This window comes from Homo sapiens, chromosome 7 (assembly GCF_000001405.40).
Source record: "Homo sapiens chromosome 7, GRCh38.p14 Primary Assembly".
In the NCBI taxonomy this organism is placed as follows: domain Eukaryota; kingdom Metazoa; phylum Chordata; class Mammalia; order Primates; family Hominidae; genus Homo; species Homo sapiens.
The window spans coordinates 118,150,377-118,173,823 of NC_000007.14; the positions used below are offsets into that span (position 1 = coordinate 118,150,377).

Below are 23,447 nucleotides of genomic sequence, written 5' to 3' on the forward strand. Positions count from 1 at the left end.
CAATCAAGAGATAATTGCAATAATCCAGGCAAGAGGACAATGACTTGTACCAGAATGGTAATAGTACAGGTGGTGAGAAGTGGAGAGATTAGACAGATTCTGGATGTAACTGAAAATACAGCCAGGCAATGGGATTTCCTAACAGATCAGAAGTGAGGTGTGATTAAAAAAAGAGAGGCATTAAACATTACTCCAAAGTTTGAGCCTGAGCAACAGGATGAATGAAGTTTCCATTAACTGACGTGAGGATGTTTGAGGGTTTACTGTTACACATGTTAATTTTGAGATGGCTATTAAACCTACAACTGAAGATGTTGAGGAGGAAGTGTTATCAACAAGACTGGAATTCAGGATAGAGGTTCCAGCTAGAGCTATAAATCTGGGAATCATCAGCATATGGTATTTAAAACCATAAGACTGGATTAAATCACTAAAAGATTGAGTATAGATAGAAAAAACAAGGGGTCTACAGACTAAGTATTAGGTATTCTAAACTGTAGAGGTTGGTAGGGAAAGGGCATTTATATAAAATGGTGTATTATTTGCACATAACCTAGGCACATCCTTTCATATACTTTAAATAATCTGTAGATCACTTATAATACATAATACAATGTAAATGCTACATAAATAGTTGTTATACTAAATTGGTTTTATTTGTATTATTTTCATTATTGTATTGTTATTTTTTATTTTTATTTTTAAAATACTTTTTTATTTTTCTTTTTTTAAGATGAAGACTTGTTCTGTTACCCAGGCTGGAGTGCAATGGCATGATCTCGGCTCACTGCAACCTCCACCTCCCGGGTTCTAGCGATTCTCCTGCCTCAGCCTCCTGAGTAGCTGGGACTACAGGTGTGCGCTACCGTGCCCGGCTAATTTTTGTATTTTTAGTAGAGATGCGGTTTCACCATGTTGGTGAGGCTGGTTTTGAACTCTTGACCTCAAGTGATCCACACAATTCGTGCCTCCCAAAGTGCTGGGATTACAGGCGTGGGCCACCACACCTAGCCTATTTTTTAAATATTTCTGATCTGGGCTTCATTGAATCCCAGATGTATTAGATGTAGAACCCGTGGATATGGAAGGTCAACTGTAAAGAAAGCATTTTAAGGAGGAGAATGTATCTGACTGTCAAATTCCATACAGTTCAAGGAAGATGAGGTTTGAGAGCTATTAGATTTACTAATACAAATTGCACTGATGGTCTTGGTAAGAGCAGTTTTGCAAAACAGTGGTGGTGAAAGCCTAATGGATTAAGATAGAGAATGAGCGCTCTCTTGAGTAGAGAAAGTAGAGCCTGTCACTACAGAGAATTCAAGGCTTTTGTATTGAAGGGAAGAAGCAAAATGAAATGAAATTGGCACAGTAAAACTTTTCTTTTTTTTTTTTTTAAGGTGAGAGAAATGACATTAGGCTGACGGGAATGATCCAAAAGAGAATGATTCTGGTCGAAGAGAATGTTGAGAATTGCTAGAGTCATGCTTTAGTGGGTGTAAAGGGATGCCTTTATAGTGCATCAATGAGGGGTTGGTCTTAGCTAACAGTATGAACAGTTCAAGCTAATTCTTCATAGCAGGAAAGAAGGTAGAGTGAATGGACACAGATGTAGGAGTTAAGTAGATGAGGTGGGAGAGTTTATGGAAGTTCTTCCTAAAGACTTCCATTCTGACAGTCAAATAGGTATCAAGGTCATTAGCTAACAGTGATTATGGTAAAAGAGGTGTTGGAGGTTTGCAAAGAGGTTGAAAAAGTACGAAGTATCAACTAGGAGAGCATGGATTGGGGATATATAACATCATTGCAGCACAGTACTAAGGACATTGGAGGACAGTGGTCATGAGTGCAAGTGGAAGCAGTCAGCCTCATTGTGTGCTGCATAACATGCAGCTGTGTGGATGCAGGAGCCACAGAGAGTTGGATTTAACCAGGTTGTGTTTGGATAATTGATCACAGCAGCATACTCCACTCTCCTCATCCCCCTCACATTCTCATGGAAATATCTGCTTTCTCTTCCTAACAGAGGAATGTTGTTCAGAGATCTTGGTGATTCTGACTCAGCTTTCAATATTTTGCCTAAGGATGTCTTGCAAATGTTTTGTCTGTTGTCGTTCACTTTTCCTTTCCCATCCCACAGTTCATATGTTTTTCTATTTTCCATGTTATGCAATATAGTTGTACCCTGACTAATTTTCCAAAAGGGGGCAAAGACAATCATGGAAAGAGAGGTATAATTAGAGCTTCAACAGTATCTCAATAATGTTCAATATCATTTACTGAGCATTTATGTCCTGGGTATTTAACATACATTTCTAATCCTTTTAACAAGTTTTCCCACCTTAAAGGAAGGAAACCCTACAAGGTAAAATGAGTTGCTCAGCTAGTATAGGCACAAGCTAAGATCCAAACCCTTTTCTACTTGTCCCCACAGAATTGACTCTGGCCACAGCTCCACACTCTCTAGCCCTTATTTGCCAAGACCAAAATCAAGCTTTCATTGTCCCAGCTCTAACTGTTGCATATTCAAATGCTGTTATGTGGGCTTGCCCAAATATCCTTAGTCCAAGGTGTCATTTCCAGTCTTGCTTTCCAACCACTAGACCTCATCTGCTCCTGATCTTGGGACAAAAACTTTTGTTTTCATGTTCCAATCTTAACCCATTCTGCAACACTGAACTTTTACTGATGTCCTCTTGTTCAGTTTTAAACCTCTGAACACCTTTGCCTATATTTATAATATCCTGGCACTATGACATTTTGGGCCAGATAATTTTTTTTTAATAGTGGAAGCATGTCTTGTGCATTGTAGGCTGTTTAGCAGCATCCCAGACCTCCCCCTACTAGATGCCAGTGGCACCCTTACCCTAATTGTGACAAACAGAAGTAGCTCCAGACATTGCCAAATGTCCTCTGGGAGGCAAATTCTTTCCCGATTGAGAAACACTGGATATGAAGTAAAAAATTAGAGTTAATTTTAGTTTTTTGAAAATGTTTCTGTAATTTTATATTGCCACTTTATCCACAATTAAAGATAAGTTGCAGTCTAAATTCATTATAACAGTCCCTATGTTCCCATTATACTTTGAAATAAATAAATCTATAATAACATTTATCACATTTAATTATAGTGCTTTAAGAAACACAAATATAGCATACATATTTTTGGCTATAAAACTAGCATCTCTTTGGTGACAGAGATCATGTAATTTGCATCTCCAGTGCTTGCAAATATCCTAATACATAATATGTGCTCATCTTCTACTTTTAAACTGTGTTGGGAGGAATTCCACGTGTTGGCTTTTTAAATTATCTAAGAGTACAGAATACCCATGTATTGTTTTGTAACCTTTATTCACATCACGGCCCTGCCATCTAGTGGCTAATTACCCAAACTACAGGTACAATATCTAGGATGAAATAAGCTAACAAGCCGTATTTCTCAAATACAAAAATGCAAAATTACATTCACTGTCATAAGATAAAGAAACTTCAGAACTCCTTTCATATATGTGCAAATATATTTTTCAACTGCTGAAATATTCCAATTTTTGACTCTTTGCTTAGTGAAATTAATTCACCTGTATCAGGCTTTTACCTCCCATATATAATTTTTTTTTTTTTTGCAAATGAGTGAATATATACCGATGTAATGTCTAAATTATCCCCCTTTGATTTTATACAATATCCTTTCCTAATCAAGCTCAGCCTTTCCTGCTTTTTCCCTCAGTTACCTCTCTCCCTGAAGAATCTAAACCATTCAACAAAACACCTGCCAAGACACAGAACTCAGAGAAATAAGAAGACCTAAAGAAAAGCTCCCCAGAGAGCAGGATTCATTGTTGGATTCAGCCCAAAGTTGTTCCACTATTTGGATTGAAATAGGCAGTTTTGTGCAGCAGGCTATTAGTGTGGTTACAGCATTGACTGAACTGATACATCAGTTGGATAGGGGTCCAACAGAATAGAAGGAAGGTGCGAGATAAGGTTGGCAATTCAATTTCAACTTTACTATTTAGCGTTTGAGAGGTCATAAATTAATTCATATTTATGAGTTACAAAATGTATTTGCTTTAGCAGGAAGGCATAACCAAATGTCTCTAAAATATGCTGAATTGTTCTTTCACTTACCTATTTTGTTGAGATCATTAACACAGTTTGAAGTCAAATGCAGCAGATGCATAAACACTCAGATAGTTCTCTTTCTTCCTAATATTAGCTCCTGATACATTGATTTGAAAGATGAATATTTATTTTTAATACTGCAAACTTACCAGTGGCATAACCTCACTTTTTCAATGTCAGATCCTTAACATGTCTAAAGAAGTTTAGGAAATTTAGATCAGTTCCTCATTGCATAGATTAAGCAACTGGGATTTTGAAGGGTTTAGCACTTTCTCTAAGGTAATGTATCTAATTATGGCAAATTATGTAGAACTCTCCACTGTTGAGAGAGTAACTATTAGCCCAGAGGCTGCACCATAATTTAATGCCTTAGGCTGCACACACCACTAAGAGGATGACAAGATGAGACTACCAGGTTCAAGCCAATCATGCTTCACATCCCTGTGTAGCTCACTAATCTGCAGAAGTTCCAGCCTCTCTAAGTCCTTCTTTTTCTCATAAAATCATAATCCACAAACTGTTATTCTCTCCACTTCTCCCCCTCCCTAAATAAACCCTTCTAGTGTTTCATGTGACTCTCATCTGTGTTCAGCAGTCCAGTCCCCTTTCCCTCATTTTCCCATCATCTCCTTGCCTTACCTTAGTTGAAACCTATCTGGTCCCTGAGAGAATGTCAGGGCCAGGATTGGAGGTAGGTGCATTCCTTGCTCTCTCCCATTGCTACTTTCAAATTATTTCACCCCTTCCCTCCTGCAAAAATCACCGTTCTTTTGATGTTTATGTCATCTGGATATACCACCCTTTCTTAGACCTTCTCACTATCTTCTGCCAACATCCTAGTCAAATCTCTTCATTTACTGAAGTCTTCCATTCCTGGCAAAAGGTCTTCCATTCTAACCCAGTTCCTTCCTTTATCCTTGGTGATTTCCATACCTGACTGGATGATGCAAAAACTCTCAGCTTCTCAGTTTCTTTACTTCCATATTCCAATGACATTTTCATTTTTTCCACTCCAGTCATCCATTCTGTGTCACACCTTGGATCTTTTCATCTCTTAAAAAGCAGCAACCCTTTCAAAAAATTCAAATAATAACATCTAACTTTCCTTCTACAACTTCCTATGCATTCAGGTCATTGATGCAAGTACTCCATACAACCACATAGTTTCTCAATGATGTGGGGACATTCAACTCTTTCATCTCACCACTTTCTTATCCATCAGTCCCCTCCTGCCATTACTTCCCATCTTGTTCAACCCAGATCCCATAATCAATATAGTTCCCCCTTTGAAATACTTTCAACTCCCAGTCCTTTCTTTGCTTCACTTGAGCTGATCTTACAAAAAACCCAATCCATGGATGAACTCACTCTGCTTCAGACCTCTCTTTTTGCTATGTACGGAGATATTTAACTTTTTGTCTGTAGCTATATATGTAGAAACAAAAGGAAGGGCAGTTTCTTACATGACTCAGTGTTCAGCTTAATTTTTTTCTTTTGGCATAGTGAGTTGGAGTCCCGAGTATTTATTTTCCTTTCACGTTTCTCCCCCTCCTTTTTTTCTTTTTTTTTTTTAAAGTCTTTTGGAGAAAGCATTTTAGAATAAAATTAGTCTCTTGTCTCAAGTTCTGTCTGATCTCTTGTGGCTAGGGAAATTTATTCCTAGATAAATAGGTCTCATGTTATGAAAGCTCATTTTTACCATGTTGTAGTCTCACTACCACAAGAAAAAATAGGGGGAGGAAGAGAGAAACAAAACAAAGGAAAAAAAGGAGAAAATAACAAAAAAACAACAAAGGGAAAACAATCCTGGAAAAGTAATAAATAACATATTACTCTGAAGTCTATACATAAGATTGCAGGTATGAAAATGGTTTATAAATAGGTTGCTGTTATTTTCTTCCAAAATTTAACTTGCCTAGCTTCCATATTTCTAATCAGAAAAAAAGGGGCGGGGGGAGGAAAAGAAGGAAGAAAAAAATTGAAAACATGATTTTGGAGACTTTTGATCAGGAAAGATTTTAGAATTCAGTCCAAATTGTAGAAAAATAATAAAAATTAAGTAACACTAGACAAGGCTAAAATCTAATAACAAGTGTACTATAGTTTATTCTGAAACATGATTTTTTTCTCTCTAATTCCCTAATTTTGTTAAACACAAAATCATAATAGGACAAACTTATCTGTAAAATAAGTTTTAGTCGTATTATACTTGGCTTGATTATTTGCATAAGGTGCAGCAAGAATAATCATTTACTATACTGGCTCCCTCTTTTTTGAAATTGGCTTTGCTGGAAGCTTTTCCATAAGGAATCTAAGATTAGACCTTTTTAAAAGCCTCACGCCCAGCCAACAATTTATCTGTGCCTGCAGATACCTGTTTGAATTGGGTGAATTCCTCTCTTTTTGAGGTCCCAAGAAAACTTGGGGTTCCTGGGCCTATCATAAAGAGACATTCTTTACTTAAGACAAGTCAGGACCTTGTAAAGGACAATGTATGAGGTCAGTTTTTCCAAAGGGCTTTTATCAACTCTATAGGTCAGCCTGCTCTAGATTGGATCAACAATCCTCATTAATACATCAGCTCTCCATGAGAGTCCTGGAAGTTTTCTCTCTATTCCAATGGCACAATTTCTAAAGTTACCAGAAACTTATATTTAAGAGTACTTCTCAGAGTATTATTGCTGATTATAAATCACCCCATAGAAGGATCAAAGTAAAACAACAATTGTGGATGACAAAGGTCTTAGCACAGTCATGGTTAAAGACAGAATTGACAAGGAAATTGGGTTACTTTTGTGGCATACAACAATTTTACATAATAATCATAATCGCTACTGATAACATATATTAAGACATAACAGAATCACAGGAATCTCATACAATTTTGGAACACATACTAATAACCCATTTATATAAACATAATCCAAATAAGGTTAAACACCATTTTGAATTTGACAATGCTTTCTGTATGATGTTTATTATACCAAATAAGCTGAACATGTCTCTTTTGGGCTTCAGAAGACCTAATATCAAAAATTAATGAAGTCAACAGAACTGAATTTAAAATTTGATATTAGAAAGTTTGTCAAATATAAAAAGCTTAAAACACTTCATATCACATAGTAGAATCACAGGTTATTGTAAAATAAGTCATTCATTTAGCCAAAATTATAACTCAAAGATTTCCAAGAAAAGGCAAAAATCTTTATTGAGAGAGGAGGCCTTAATTTCCCAAACAACAAGCCCTTGAAAAGACAGCATGAGGCCAACTAAATCTGTCTCTCAAATCTTACAAACAAATGTATTAAATTTTAAATATCTTGACTAAAAGATATAATTTTCATATACCTTTTTATAACCTCCTATAATTTTTTATTAAATAGTTGGTTAGTGCTTCAAGAAAACCTTGTTAATCTGACACAGGGGCCTAGATGCTGGTTTGCATTAGTGTGCTTTTGATATTAATGTTTAATTTACAGAGAAACTCTGAACAAATTTTGTCTCTCAAAATTGGCCCTTACAACCTCAAATGTCCACCTGTTCTGCAATAGTCCCTGGGTCCAGAGGTATTGAATAGTTTTAATTTCTGGCTCTGTGTCTCATGAACATGGTGTATTTTGATTGTCATTTTCTCCCAGGTCTGAAAATGAGGCTTTAATTGTTGTCAGTGTTGAGATTTAGCAGGACTTAGTGTCCTTTTTAGACCCATGCATCAAAGCCCTGTAACTTGACAGCACAAGGACTTTTAAAGCAATACAGAAAGTTACATGGATGAGATAACCTTAATTTTTAAAATGTTTAAATCTCAGTTTTCCTAAGCAAATCAAAATTTAGTAACAATGACCTAGGAATTATTTTGATAAAATGTAAAATCCATTAGGCCATTTACCAAAAGGCAAAAAACAAAACAAAACAATAAAAACCAATCTTCTGCAGTGGGACTACTTTTCCCTATAAGGAGTCCACTTAGATAACCTGCAAGTCAAAACTAATGAAAATGGTACTTGAATTAGATATAGGAAGAGTATGAAGCCAAGAGCACAGAATGTTATACTGGAAGAAAATATGTCCTTTAGGCCTTTAAGGTAAAACATTTTTAGCTTTAGGCCACAAGAGTAGTTAGAAGCTGAGTGAAAAAATTACAGGAGCTGACAAAAAAGTTGAAGGAGAATGGTATTATCTCAGTCCTTCTTGAAGGAGAGAGAGAGCTGAAAACAGTGAGACATGATAAAAGTTGAACTTTTGGGTTAAAAAATTAAAATCTTGTAATTTTATTAAGCATAAATAAATACCTTAAGAAAATCTTGTTGTTCTAACCAATTCTTTAGCATATTAGTTTATTTTTAATATCAAAGCCCAATCTCTAAAAGACTATTATAAATAATTTCCTTTTAATTATAGCCAACTTAATCACAGTTTTTTTCCATAAATTCTCCTTTTACAAACCTTATTGCAACTTATACAAACCATTTCCAACATGCTTGGACTTGCTGTTTTGTCCTAAACATCCCTCATTCCTAAATAACCAGTGAGTTTACTTTAGGACAAAAATTTACCATATAAGATTCTTTCTCATATAAAATTATTCCTTTTAACCTGTCTTATCAAAAATATCTCTTTATATCTATTACTTTCTTTACTAGTTCTTTTTACTTTGTTTCAAAAATAACCTTTAAATAACTTTTGAATTAGACAAAAATTATTTTCCTTCAAATAAGATTTTTAGAAAATTCTTATAATTTAAAAAAATTGGAAATGACCTAGCTATTTAATGAGTATCTAGTATTTAATTTAATGTAAGTTTACCTTCCAAATTATATGACGTTTATTCCATTTACCTAATTTTTTTATAGTTTACCGAGATTACTTATGAAAACATTTAAAGTTATTTCCCTGTTAATCATTTTAGAGCTTGTGAATTTCCTGTGTTTACCTAAGAAAGAACCTTAAGGTTAAATAGACGTTTTGTTTGTTTGTTTTTGCCAACAATGCAGGATTTTAGCTATTTTCATTAAACCAACAATATTTAATGCCTTCTTGATTAAAAAAATTACACAAACAAAGATAATTCTCTTTTGGGATGTATTTATAGCTTTATAATCCTCATGACAAATTTTGACACCTTATAATATCTAGCAGAAATAAATATAACACTATTTGACCAATAAATCTAAACAATAATGTATGTTGACAAATCTGAAGACACATCTAATTTTATTTTACCAATAATTTAAAAACCAGCTTATCTATTAGAGGTTTACTTAAGTCATGTGAACTTGAAAAAGTGTTTGGGCTTAAGGTTTCTATTTTTCTGATAAAGTATTTGATACAAAATTTTTTTTCTTTAAGCCAATTAATTAGAGCTCTTTTATATACTTTGGTAGTGAAGCATACACAAGACACGTAAATATGCAGACGTTTTAGATACACAGGTAGTATTAGATCTTATAGATCCATAAGACCCCTTTTTCCTCCTATTTTAGACATCCAATTTCTTGATAATCTGTTTCATTACCCTAGGCAATTGTCAGACAGCCCTAAATTTGCATACTAAAGGAAAAACTCAGGTAAAAATCAGATAGTGAAATTTATGTCTCAAAGTACATATATGCACACACAAACACACACGCACACAGAGATTGAGAGAGAGAGAGAGAGACTGGTTTGTTAGAGGGAGTTAAAAATGAATGCCAAGTCACACATAAAATTCTAGAAATCTACCATAGGATTTTATAAGGAGGCCAATATTATTTAAATAGGTAGTTTTAAATTTAGTCTCTGTCTTTTAACTGGACCTTTGAGCTCTGGGCAGAGCCTACAATGAAGCCTGGGTCTCCAAAAACAGAGACATATCATGAAACTAGGCCAGGTAACGCTTTTACAGTGCACTTTGTTGCAAGGACATTTCTCTAAGTGTCTAAACCATGTCACTTCTTATCTTAAACACCCAAGAATAGCCCCTGTTGTATGTAGTAACTATTTTAGTAAAAAAAAAAAAAAAAAAAAAATCAGGTAACATAATACAAAAGCAAGCAGCTTAAGGTCTGAGAGGAACTTGACTGTTTGTAGTCTTGGAATTCCATAATGAAAAACAGAGATTTCTTGCCAGAATGGAGTCTGGGGCCTTCACTGTTTTCTTTAAGACATTCCAGGCTGTTAGAAATTATTTTAGGTCCCTTAGGTAGCAGAGGGGTAGCAAGAGGAAGGAGAGATAGACAGAAGTAAATGGAGAAAACAGAATTCAGTTGACTGAGAAGAAAAAAAACCTTTTTCCCAAAAAAACAAGATAATGGGAGAGAACAAAAGTATAAAGGCCTTTTAAATACATATATTAAACACTGCATATGTATGTACATATATATTCAGTATTATGCATATGTATACACATATACATCTTAATTAGCTTTTAATTAAGCTGACTTTTAATCATTGAGCTCTTTAAAATATCATTTAAAATCTCTTATTACCATATTTTATCTGGGACAAACTGATTTTTCAAAGGTAACACAAATACCAATCCAGAAAGGATTTGATTTACAAACCAAACTCAGGCTGCCATGGTGAAAGGGCAGAACCTTAGCTACTGAACTACAGCATGGAGTGACCACCATTGTTGCTCTTTTAGTTTGGCTTTGCTAGCAAAAGGTGGCCTTTTTACATAAATAAAGCCCTTCAGGTAGTCAAAATCTTTCTTTTTTCCTTTTCTTGGCCATTTTTTTTCCTTTTCCTTTTTTTGTACACAGCTTTGGGAATTTAGGCAATTCAAAGGCTGTGTTCCCCATAATTTGGAACTTTCCTTCAGATTTAACCAAGTCAAGCAGAGTTGGTCAAACCCAATGGGAGAAAGACTGAAATAAAACAACAAGAACAGAAACAAATAAACAAAAAACCAAGCAAAACAAATAAATGATCACACAACTTATATGATTACGGAGTGCTCTAATAGTAAAGAGAAATTAAGAACACCTGGTTGTTAATCTTAATTTTTAGTCATTAAGGAGAACTTCCAAGACAAAACCACAATTCAGCTACTTACCCAGAAATGCGGCCCAGGTTGAAACTGCTCTCTACCACCTTAGAAGCAGGGAAAAAACTCTCAACCTTGCCTTCCCTGTTGGAAGTGAGCTAAAGCTCCAGAAAGGAATTGCCTGCCTCTAACGTCATGGAAGCAGGAAAACTCTCATTCCTTGTTGTTAGTGAGTAAAGCTCCAGAAAAGGAGTTGTACAGCAAAATAAACCTCAGATCTCAACCAAATTTGGGAGATCAGAGATTCTCTGGAGTGGGGAGCTCCTATGCCTCAGAAAATTTTCCTACTGGTTTGAGCAATAAAGATAGCTCAAGCTGGTCCCAAGCACTGATGGGAAAGTTACCAAAGGTCAGGGCCACCGCTACTTAGAGTCCCTTCTGATGATCACCAATTTGTAGACCAAAAAGTACCTGAGAGAGTTCCCAGTCAGTTTAGAAGTTTATTTTTCCAAGTTTAAGGACATGTCCAGGAGAGAAGTCTGTGTCTTTCTCCAGAGATGATTTTCAGGGCTTCAATATTTAAAGGGAAAAAGCAGTCTTAGAGGAAAGAGGGAGGGTATGGTCATATTACCGAATCCACATGTTGCAAGAGGAAAGGAGCAGGTAGGAGATAGTCAATTATATATTCATCTCACACTCACTAAATTGGCACTTTACATAAGATAAGGGGAACATAGAGTAGCTACCTGTGGAGACATTTAACTTTTTGTCTGTAGTCATTTGCTTAGGAACAAAAAGAAAGGCACTTTCTTGCATGATTCAATCCATGAAAATAGGACATCATCCCATTTATTTATGTCTTTTTGAATTTGTTTTATCTTAATCCCTAAGTATTTTAGTTTTTGTTGGTGATGTAAATGGAATTGTTTTCTTTCAACCTTTCAGATCATTATTGATTTATAGAAATATCACTAATTTTTGTATGTTAATTTTGTATTCTGCAACCTTGCTGAAATATGTTTTAGTTTTAACAGTTTTCCTTGTGGAGTCTTTGGGGTTTTCTATGATTATGTCATCTGCAAACATAATTTTCTCTTCTGATTTGTATGCCTTTTATTTCTTTTTCTTGCCTGACTGCTCTGGCTAGGACTTGAAGTATTATGTTGAATACAAATGTTAACAGTGGACTTCCTTGCCCTATTCTGGATCTTAGAAGAAAAGCTTTCAGTGTTTCTCCATTGATTATGATGTTGAGGGTTTTGTTTTTTGTTTTTTGTTTTTTTTTTGAGACGGAGTCTCACTCTGTAGCCCAGGCTGGACTGCAACGGCATGGTCTCAGCTCACTGCAACCTCCGCCTCCCCAGCTCAAGTAATTCTCCTGTCTCAGCCTCCCTAGTAGCTGAGATTACAGGTGTGCACCACCATGCCTGGCTAATTTTTGTATTTTTAGTAGAGGCGGGCTTTCTCCATGTTGGTCAGGCTGGTCGCAAACTCCTGAACAAAAGTGATCCCCACGCCTTTGCCTCCCAAAGTGCTGGGATTACAGGCATGACCCACCGCACCCAGCCGATTGTGGGTTTTTATATATACCCTTATTGTGTTGAGGTTCATTTCTTCTATACTCATTTTGTTGAGAGTTTTTTAAATCATGATAGAATGTTGAATTTTGTCAAATGCTTATTCTGCATCTATTGAGATGACCATGTGGTTTTTTCTTTCATCCTGTTAATGTGTATCATATTGATGGATTTTTTGTATGTTAAACAATTCTTGTATGCCAGGGATAAATCCCACTTGATTATGGTTTATGATCCTTTTAATGTGCTGCTGAATTCTGCTTGCTAGTATTTTATTGAGGATTTTGGCATCTATGTTCATCAAGGATATTGGCCTGTAGTTTCCTCCTCTTGTGATGTGTTAGGCTCTAAAATTAGGGTGATACTAGCTGATAAAATGAGTTTGGGATTGTTCTCTCTTCTAGTTTTTAGAAGAGTTTAAGAAGAATTGGCATTAGTAAAATGAGCAAATCACAGAAGAACAAATACTATATGATTCCACTTACGTGAGGTATCTAAAATAGTCAAACTCATAGTGAATAGTCAAACTCATAGAAAATGGTGGTTGCCAGGGCTAGGCAATGGGAAAAATGGAGAGTTGTTTGATGAGTATAAAATTTCAGTTATGCAAGATGAATAAGTTCTAGAAATTTGCTGTACAATATAATGCCTCTAATTAAACATACTGTATTGTGCGCTTCAAAATTTGTTTGCAGTAGATTTCATGTTCAGTATTCTTACTACACACTCACAAAAAACAAACAAAGGAAAAACCACCACCCGGAAACTTTTGAAGTGACAGATATGTCTATTACCTTGATTGTAGTGATGATGTCACAGGTGTATGCATATTTCCAAATTCATCAAATTGTATACATTAATGATGTATAGTTTGTTGTATATCAATTATACCTCAAGAAAAATAAAGTAAGGTAGAATAAATTTTCCAACCTGGTTTTTTTTTTTTTTAGATTGTCAGCTATCTAACATCTTTTGCACTTCTATATAACTCCATTTTAGAATTTGTGTGTCAATTCCTATAAAAAATCTGCTGTGACTTTCAAATGAATTACACTGAATCTACAGATTAATTTAGGGTTTACCGATATCTTAACAATATGGAATCTTCCAGTACATTACTATACTATTCCATTTGTTTTGGTCTTCTTTGGTTTCTCTCTGCAATGTTTTGTAGTTTTAAATTTAGAGGTCTTGCATATATTTTGTTAAATTTTTCCTAGGTATTTGAAGGGTTTTGTGGCTACTGTCATTGGTATTGCTTTTTTGTTTGTTTGTTGGTTCTGGGTTTCCGTTTTAAATAAACTTTGTAATTTGGAAACATTTTAGATTTACAGAAATGTTAGAATGATAGTACAGAGTTCTGGTATACTCCTGACCCAGTTACTCTCATTGTTAGTATCTTACATTTCTGATTTATTTTTGTCAAACTAAGAAAATTTTATTGGTGTATTACTAAAAATGGTAGCTGAATTGCTTTTAAATTTTATTTTGAAATTTTTGTTGATATTATATAAAAATAAAATTGATTTTTGTATATTAAAACTTGTGTTCAGTGCTAAATGCATTTATTAGTTCTGGTAGTTTATGGTTTTCTTTGAATTTTCTACATACACAGTCATGAAACTGTTGACCAATGATATTTTTACTCCTTTATTTACAATCATTATGTTTTTTATTTCTTTATTCTGCCTTATAACACTAACTAGGAACTCCAGGCCAGGTGTGTTGCTCACGTCTGTAATCCCAGCACTTCAGGAGGCCAAGGTGGGCAGATCAGTTGAGGTCACGAGTTCGAGACCAGCCTCGCCAACATGGAGAAACCCGGTCTCTACTTAAGATACAAAAATTAGCTGGGTGCGGTGGCGTGCTCCTGTAATCCCACCCATTCAAGAGGATGAGGCAAGAGAATCACTTAACCTGGGAGGCGGATGTTGCAGTCAACCAAGATCCTGACACTGCACTACAGCCTGGGCAACAGAGTGAAGCTCTGTTTCAAAAATAGAAAAAAAAAAAAGAAGAAAGAAAGGAAAGAAAATCCTACTAGGAACTCCAGCACAGCAGACATCATGTCAGTAGGTATCTCTGCCTTGTTAGCAACCTTAGGTAGAAAATGTTCCTTTATTCTGTTTATGTGGTAAATTAGGTTGCCTGATTTTCAAATGTTAAATTAGACTTGCATTTCTGGAATAAACCCTACTTGGTCTTCTACAGAAATTTTAACACTTGTACTCTTTAATCGATCCTCTCTTGTGGGACCTTTGTTATTTTAAGGATTCTGGTATTTTATTTTATTTCTTTTTTTTTTTTTTTTTAGATGGAGTTTCGCTCTTTTGCCCAGGCTGGAGTGCAGTGGTGCAATCTCCGCCTTCCGGTTTCAAGTGATTCTCCTGCCTCAGTCTCCCGAGTAGCTGGGATTACAGGCGTGCACCACCACGCCTGGCTAATTTTTGTATTGTTAGTACAGACAGGGTTTCACCATGTTGACCAAGCTGGTCTCAATCTCCTGACCTTGTGATCCTCCCGCTGCGCCCTCCCAAATTGTTGAGATTACAGGAGTGAGCCACCGCACCCAGCTGTATTCTGGTATTTTTAAGTAGGATTGTAGTAATTATCCCTGCAGCTAAATCATTACATACTTTCATAATAATTTCTACATGAGCAATCCCTAAAAATGGAACTGCTGGGACAAGGCTTTCAATATTTGTTATAAAATTTTCCCCTAGAAATTTTGAATAAACATATCCTCTATTTCTACCAAAAGCACCTCCTCTACAGATGCTCCTCTGCTTATCATAAAGTTATGTCCCAATAAACCCATGTTACAGTTGAAAAATTGTAAGTTGAACCATTTTAAGTTGGGGACTCTTTTATAGCATTAATATATATAGTAATCAACTCTGGATGCTATCATGGTTTAAATTGCCAATTTTATAAGCAAAGATGTATCATTTTAATTTATATTCATTTATTCATTAATGAAGTTAAACTTTTTTGCAAATAGTTCTTGGGCATTTCTCTTTTTTTAGTGTAAAATGCTTATTCATACCCTTTGTCTATTTTGCCAATTAGAGTGTTAAATTTTCTCTTAATGATTTGTAAAAAAAGGTTATATTTATCTTAAGCTTTTGTATCAACTACATGATATGATAATAATAGAGTTATTAGGAACAAGTTAGAATACAGATTAGAATCTCAGAGATTAAGGCACTGACCTTAAGTGGTAAATTAAGGATGATGCCAGATTTTAAAGGATGGTGAACACTGTCTTCTGTAGAAAATAGAAAGGCTTTAATAGGGAGATACATGATCTAATTTACATTGTAGAGCAGAGGTCAGCAAACTATGGCCTTTGGGCCACATCTGGTGCATTGACATTTTTGTAAATAAACTTCTATTGGAATATATCTACAACCATTCATTTATGTATTGCCTATGAAAACTAACATGTGAAGGGGGCACTAGCTTGATCTGCCACATTATATTTCTTTTTTAAAAAGCTGCCAGTAGAAGGCACTGAGAGAAAGGTGTAAATTGTCAGGAGAAAAATTAAGAAAAGACAGGTCCTGGACATCAGGAAAGGGAGAAGGTATGTTCTCAAAAGAAGAGCATAGAACACACTATCCAACTTTGCAGACAAGTCAAGTAAAATAATGATTAAGAAGCTGTCTATTATCAGTCAGAAACCTTTAAGACAGTTTCAGCAGAATAATGGGGGTGGGAGCCAGATGGTGGGGGGTGGAGAGGAGATACTTGGCACTGAAGGAGTGGAGGCAGCAAATGGCTCGTTCAAAAAGGCTGGCAATGAAGAAGGAAAGAGAAGAGAAAGATATACAGTAGTTTAAATGAGAAATATTTAATTTATGTGATGCTTCAATTTCAGGCCAGGTAGGTACTCAAATAACTCATCTTTTTTTTCCTTTGCAAAACTTCAAGTTCTCATAGCAGCAAAATAAATATATTTTTTCATTAAGGGATTATCTCCCTATCTCATGTTAATATGACACAAAAATAACATTAAGAGCTTGGTTCATATCACATAACATTAACAGTAGTCTTGCAAAAGTTGAGAAAACCCAAGTCATGAGACGTAGGGATTTTCTAGGTGTACTGCTCACCCAGATGTAGCCCCACAAAGTGGTATGTATCTTGATGCAGCCAACCAGTCCAGGATCTGTCCTTTTAGCCTTTCAGACTTAGAAACTTAATTTCATCAATGTGAACATATTTAGCATATTCGGGAAGGTGATTCATACTAACAAAGCTCATCAGGGTCTGATATTTAAGCCATTTTATTTATTTACAATAAGGAGTTTGATTGCCAAGCAGTCTAGACATAGTGAGCCCTGACCAGTGAGCCCAATTATCCCTAGGGTATTTGGGAAGCAAGGAAGCAGGATAAGGAGTTACTTATTGGAATGTGTAATGACATCTGGCTTTGATGTGACAGTCTTTGAAATAGTTATATTCCTGTCGAGTGGATTCTTGAATCGGCCTAACAGAGCATTCTCTCTTCAGGTGAAGGCATGCTCTTACAAATTTGCTTCTTCTGCACCTTTATTTCTAAATTTCCTTTTGAAGTACATATCCATACCTTACCACTGTTAATACCTTTCTGCCTAGGAACAGACACATCTCTTTAAAATGTTCTGCTTTTCTCTGCACTGAATGCATTACGGATGTTATTGCTTAGCTTTCAAGGTTCTTTGAGAACATCTACGATCACTCCATATAGATGACAACATTTCATTTGTAATGATGACTTTTACCATTTCTGAGGACAACTATAATTTCATTGTTTATTCTACTTTTCTTCAGGTAAACTTATTTCTTTGCCTATATTTTTTAAAAGACATATTACTACCATCAATTGCCAACCCAGTTTATTTGACAAAAGTAAAAAAACCAAAAAGATAGGCACAATAAGGATGTTATATTCTTTATATTCTTTAATATACTTAAAAATAATATTCTTTAATAATTCATTTGTTTCACTACTACCTCTACACTGATATGCCATCATTTATTATCACAACTGCCCAAACATGATATTATTTTGTATTTTTTCATGCAAAGTCTGTTACAGTTCTGCAGTCCTATCCTGTTGCTGATGATTGCAAAAGTATTACCTTGTAATAACATCAGCACTGCTCTGACTTATCAAATCCTGATGTGACTGTCAGCTCAACCTTTAAAAGAAACTTAAAGAAAATATGAGTTGTTTATATGAAATGTTCCTTAGGATAGTATCATTTAAATGAGACCAACTTCCATGGAAATTATCTAGTATGTCTTTCACAAAATTCTATAAAAGGGCTCTGATGGTGCACTTAAAAGGCTATCATTAAACCATTTATTGCTGTGTAGGTGCTGATTTTAAAACTTTTTCTCAGACATAAAAGATATAGTTCTTTTGGACCTACAACATATTGTTATTTTGCACAATTCATTCTATTCAATTTGTATAATACTCTTAAGACATTGTAAATGTCTGAAAGTAACTATGAGGAAGAAAAAATAAAGAATTATGGGATTTGTTGAAAAAGGGACAAAGGGTATATTTTCAGAGGCTATTTGAGAATATATAGGGGAGCTGATTAAGTACAGACAATCCTGGAGGAAAGCCTAAGAAAAGTTTCTCTATCCTTTTAGTTAGCAGTGATTGTGGATAATGCTCTTTGTCCAGAAAGTTTGTGAGCAGAGCTTCCAGAAAGTAAATATTGTATTCTCAACCATAAGATTTTTAGGACTTTTCACTAAAAGATAGCAATTGTACCTGTCATATAGCATTAAATCTTTATTTCCAAACTTAGGTTTAGGATGATATAGAAAACCTCAACCAAATTTTAAATAAAATAATAAACATCTTAGTAATAGTTTAGGTACCATAAATATTATATATAGGAAATACAACTAAACTGATGAGCTACATACACATCTTAATCTCAGAGCTTTTTTGCATTAGTTTCAAACACATCTTAGAAAATAGTAGATATTTGTTGGCTGTTACCTCAGCATCCATTTCCATTTTTTTTTTCCAACCAAAACAAACCTGATTTCCTTAGGAGTACTTACCCAACCTCAGTATAAAGTGACCATATGGATGGAGTAGACAGACCTCATCCCCAGGTTGAGTCCTGTAGAGCGTCTTGCACTTGACCACAGTGACTGATCCAGAAATGGAGATGTATCACATTTTGGCCAATAAAACTTTACAGATGTGCTAAGGACTCCTACAAGCGAAGTTTTCTTGCTGCTGTGGGAGTTCCAGGAACTTTCCATGAATAGTGTGAGAAGAATGTGAAGTTCCTTAATGCTGCCACGAGGGGATCTAGTATGAAAACTAGTCCAGCATCTGCAGGAAGACAGAGCTACAAGAATCAGAATGGACTCAGTGTCCAGATGGCAACACAAACTGATGAATTAAGTCTCCCTTTTATAAAGCCTAAAATTAGAGCGGTGTGTACACAATTCAATTACATGAACTCATACTCTCCAAGTTTTTTCTTTCATAATCCACTTTGGTTCAGGTTTTTTGTCACTTCCAAAAGCCTCCCAGCCAATGTAGGAAGGTAATTTGGAACACTGGAGGAAGTATTGTGGTCAGGAGGTCTGAGTTCTGGTTTAGTTTTGCCATTATTTGTGTGGTCTTAGGCAAGTTCTTTATAACCACACCCTTTAACCACTGTATCCTTTTTACAAGAATATTCATTCTAGATGATTTCTATTAATACAACATAGAACAAATTGGCTAGATGTCCACCAATTCCACACATCTTTCTGAGTGTACAGGTGGACTGTATTTATTGGCCTCTCATTAGTTCAGTTGGGGAATTGTGATTCAGTACTAAAAGATGGGATGTAGACCAAAGTGACGAAAACCACACCAAGGCCTTTTACTTCATATGATTCCAAAATCCTCTCTTCCTTCTGTTCAATGACTATGGAGGCCAAATACTGAGGATCGCAGAATCAGGGATCTCTGATTTTTACTAGGATTCAATAACCTCTTCCTCCAAGTTTTCAACCTAACTTTCACAAAATATTTATAAAACATTCTGAAAACTTTCCAGTGTATTTCTGTTCTTCCAGGAAAACTTCTCCTGGATAAAATATTTGTTAATTGCACTCATGAAACTGCCTCAGAATTACTTCACTAATAAACTTAAACAGAAATTATGTATGATATACAACCTTCACCCAAATTTAAACCTCATTTACAAAATGAAAAAAAAAATCTTAGTGTAGAGTTAAACCCAAATTTGTTGTTATACAACATTTATTTCTTATTCACCTGGAGCCCAATGTGGGTAGAGTAGCTCTCCTAGAATTTTGAACAAATGGCGTAGACTAGGGAGTTATGATTCAGGATGAAATAATCGAGGCATCCTGTGCATGGACTTGAACCTGCCCCTCAGCAGATGAGAATCCACTGCAGAGCCTTGAGTGGAGGGTATGGCATATTAGGGGAGCCAGTCAAGAAGTGAAATGACCAAGAGACATCAATAAACTCTCTAAATCAATATTGGCAAGTTATTCCACTATCTCAGGCAGGAGGAGACATTAATTGATTCAACTGATTTTTAAACCAATCTAGAAATTTTGTATCAGCCTTCTAAATTGGATTTGTCTCTCCTAATTAGTCCCAGAGAGACCTTTGTCCATCACTCTACTTATTGGATACAAGGAATAATTCACTAATGCTAAAACAGGATCCTTCCAATTCTCATTTTCATCTAAGATTTTGTGCCCATTGAACGTTGAGCCAATTGTGCATAACTCCATTTCCTTGCCTGCCAACCCAAACTCAATACAGGGAGAACCACCTCAGCTAATTCTATTCATTTTAGAAAAGATATCATTACAACCTAAACTCCTCAAAAGCAGGAACAGTATCTTATTTAGCTTCAGAGAGCCAATGACTGTCTCAGTATCTGGCACTTTGCTCCACCGTTTGTAGAATTGACAATGGTCAGGAAATAAGGCTCTCTGTCTAGTAGTGACCTCTGGATACCCAATTATCTTGGGAACTGAAAGGGGCAAGAGACACCACCCACAGAGAAACTGAAAAGTTTCTGTGCAAAGAGAGATACTGTTCCCAGCAGTATCTGTGTGGCAATACATACCACTGCATATTTTCTTTCTGCTTTCCTATGGTGGTTAATGTTATATACATACAAACAGACATGTATACACACACACACATTCCATGAAAAAGGTAAAAGTCTTAAGAAAATGTGTCTTACTCGTTTCTAATATTCTCTGTGAAAATAATTGTTCTTTTTTTTTTAACATGTCAAACTTTCATTAAAGATTTCTGAATGAGTGAGTAGAAAAGGTTAAAGCCCAGTGCAACATCTAACGTTAGTGAGGTTTTCTGTGTAAGTTTCTTTGGAGAGGCATGCTGGGGGAGGAAAATTTAAGGTAAAGTTGTGTCGACTGCTGCAAATAGACTGGTAATGTCTAATGTGTTTATAGTCATCTATTTGTATGGAATGAAAAGAGACTACAAAGAAGATCTTTTTCTTCACTCAGGGTCTTCTGGTCTTCCGTCTAAACTCTGGGGAAGGCAAAGAAGGGCCAGCTACAACAGAAGCAAGAAGAGCTATTTTCACAAAGATTCTCTGAGATAAGAAATGAAAACACACTTTTAATTAATTTATTTACTTTGGAGACAGGGATTCACTCTCGCCCAGGCTAGAGTGCAATAGTGTGATCACAGCTCACTATAGCCTCGAATTTCTGCACTCAAGTGATCTCTCATCTCAGTCTACCAAGTAGCTGAGATCACAGGCTCACAGCACGATGCTCTGTGGAAACATACTTTTTAATTTTTTTTTTTTTTTTTTTTTTTTTTTTTTTTTTTTTTTTACCAAATTGGTAAGAGTGAAATTCCATAAACACCAGGCCCTTGCAAGTTCACCAGCCCATGCCCAATTACTCCGGGGAAAAGGCCTGGGTAGCTTATACCTTCATCTCCATGACTAACTAACATCTCCACACTGCGAGTTTGGCTCAGGCTTCTTGAAAGCCACAACTAGATCACTGTGGTGTTGGGAAGGAAGGTGAGATCAAATTTGTCAAATGTTTGCTTGAAGAGCCCAATATGCTTGCAGGATGTTCAGGTTTATTTGGTGGTGACCACCTATGCCAGTCCACAGAGAGAGGTTGTTATTGCTGGAGGACAGGTGAGAATGGCATCTCACATTCACCTAACAGCGCTCTCACCTTGGCTTGCTTTGAACCAGTAAGCAAGCAAGGCAAATGATATACATGAGATTAGAATATAGATTCGTGGCTGCAACAAGCGGGAGGTTCTCTCAGAGTCTGGGGATCTCAACCTCCCAGAGGAATGAATCAGTAGGTCAGAGCAGCTCTGAAATGTGGGCTCACTCTACTCTTTACATTTCCAGCTTGATGAGGTTAAGTGGCAACCCACAGTCAACAGTCGGTCCTAACACCATGAAATAAATGTTAGCTGTGCCACAATCAGATAACTAAGTTACTTCTTTGTATCATTTCTTGCTACATAAGTGGCCCAAGTTGAAGTCTGGTGCAGCAGACAGTCTATGGTCTACTAAAGACAGGAATTTTGTTTTTGAGTAAACAATCCACTTTAGACCAACTTTGGTGGTAGGAAAGACTACCCACTCAGGAATATTTAGGGAGGCTTGTGCAGATGTGTGAAGATGGGGAGAAACCCTACCCTGTCCTTTGCTTCACATAAAAGAGAATCAGGTGAAGTCAAATGATGACAAGGACTGGGGCTAGACTCCTGCTCCTAACTCAAGATAGAGACCTTTTTAAAGGAAGAGTACTTTTGATCTCTATCTTAGTTTGAGTTCTCCCAAAAGCAGATCCTGGGGCAAGAATTTAAGTGCAAGTAGATTATTTAGGGAAAACCAGTAAGGGAGTGGAGAAGGGTTATAAGGAAAGGAAGTGAGTCAATAAAATGTGCACAGTTAAGCCACTACTGTTGAATGAGCAGAGATACAGCACCTGGATTATCCCACCTTGTTGATGAAGAGGCTGTTATTTATAAACTCAGTCACTGACTGAAGACTGCTCCCTGAGGGAGTGTTAATTCCCCAGAATTCCTAGCCTGCCACACATGGAGAGGGGTGCAGAAAACGCCTTCAAACGCGGAGATGCACATATCAAAAACTGAAAGTACACTGGAGCACAGTGAAGTCATTTTGAGAGAAATGGGAAATGGATATTATTATATACTAATATACCTATACGAGACATAAAACTTGCCTAGGTAAGGAGTAGTCAGGGCTTTGCACCAGCAGCATCCCCGGAAAGAATGTGCAGTGATTTTTCAGGGCTCATGGTAGACTGACTCTCCAACAGCACTCACAGGATGCAGGGTAACATATTTATTTAAATAGAAAAATAAAGTCAGCTAATGGGTTTGATAAGGATATGGGCTCTACCATAAATATGACTTAAATTTGCAGCTACAATTTTAATGAAAATATATTTAAAGCACATAAACAAAACACTATGTGCTAGAAGTTCCATTCTTTGCAATTAATAAATTTAGTATATAAAAATTTAGCATTTTAAAGTAAACATGCATAAAAGGGTCTTGGTTTAATTTTTTTTAGTTAAAATTTAGAAGCCATATGAGCAAAAATAGCTCATAATTGTCTTACAATTATGTGAGCTACTCAATATCCTTTTAAAAAGCAGAATAATATGCAGAGGTTAGGTAGCTGGGTGGCAGGTCCCAAATGCACAGCAAAGCTGGGTCAGCCAGGACCCTTTGAACACCACTG

The 23,447-nt window shown here is 35.9% G+C and overlaps 1 long non-coding RNA gene across 2 annotated transcripts in view; it reads right to left on the reverse strand.

Annotated features, from left to right (window-relative positions):
* Nucleotides 1-972: 972 nt before the first annotated feature.
* The window catches only part of LOC105375470 (uncharacterized), a 32,620-nt gene continuing 10,145 nt past the window's right edge, over nt 973-23,447 (reverse strand). The window contains exons 2-4 of one of the 2 annotated variants that reach the window (XR_927904.3): nt 18,739-19,018; nt 5,056-5,192; nt 973-2,943 (exon numbers count right to left, since the gene is read on the reverse strand). This is a non-coding gene — a long non-coding RNA (uncharacterized LOC105375470). Of the gene's footprint in view, nt 2,944-3,332; nt 5,193-18,738; nt 19,019-23,447 lie in introns of those variants that run through there. The other variant, XR_927903.3, reaches the window with a different exon arrangement.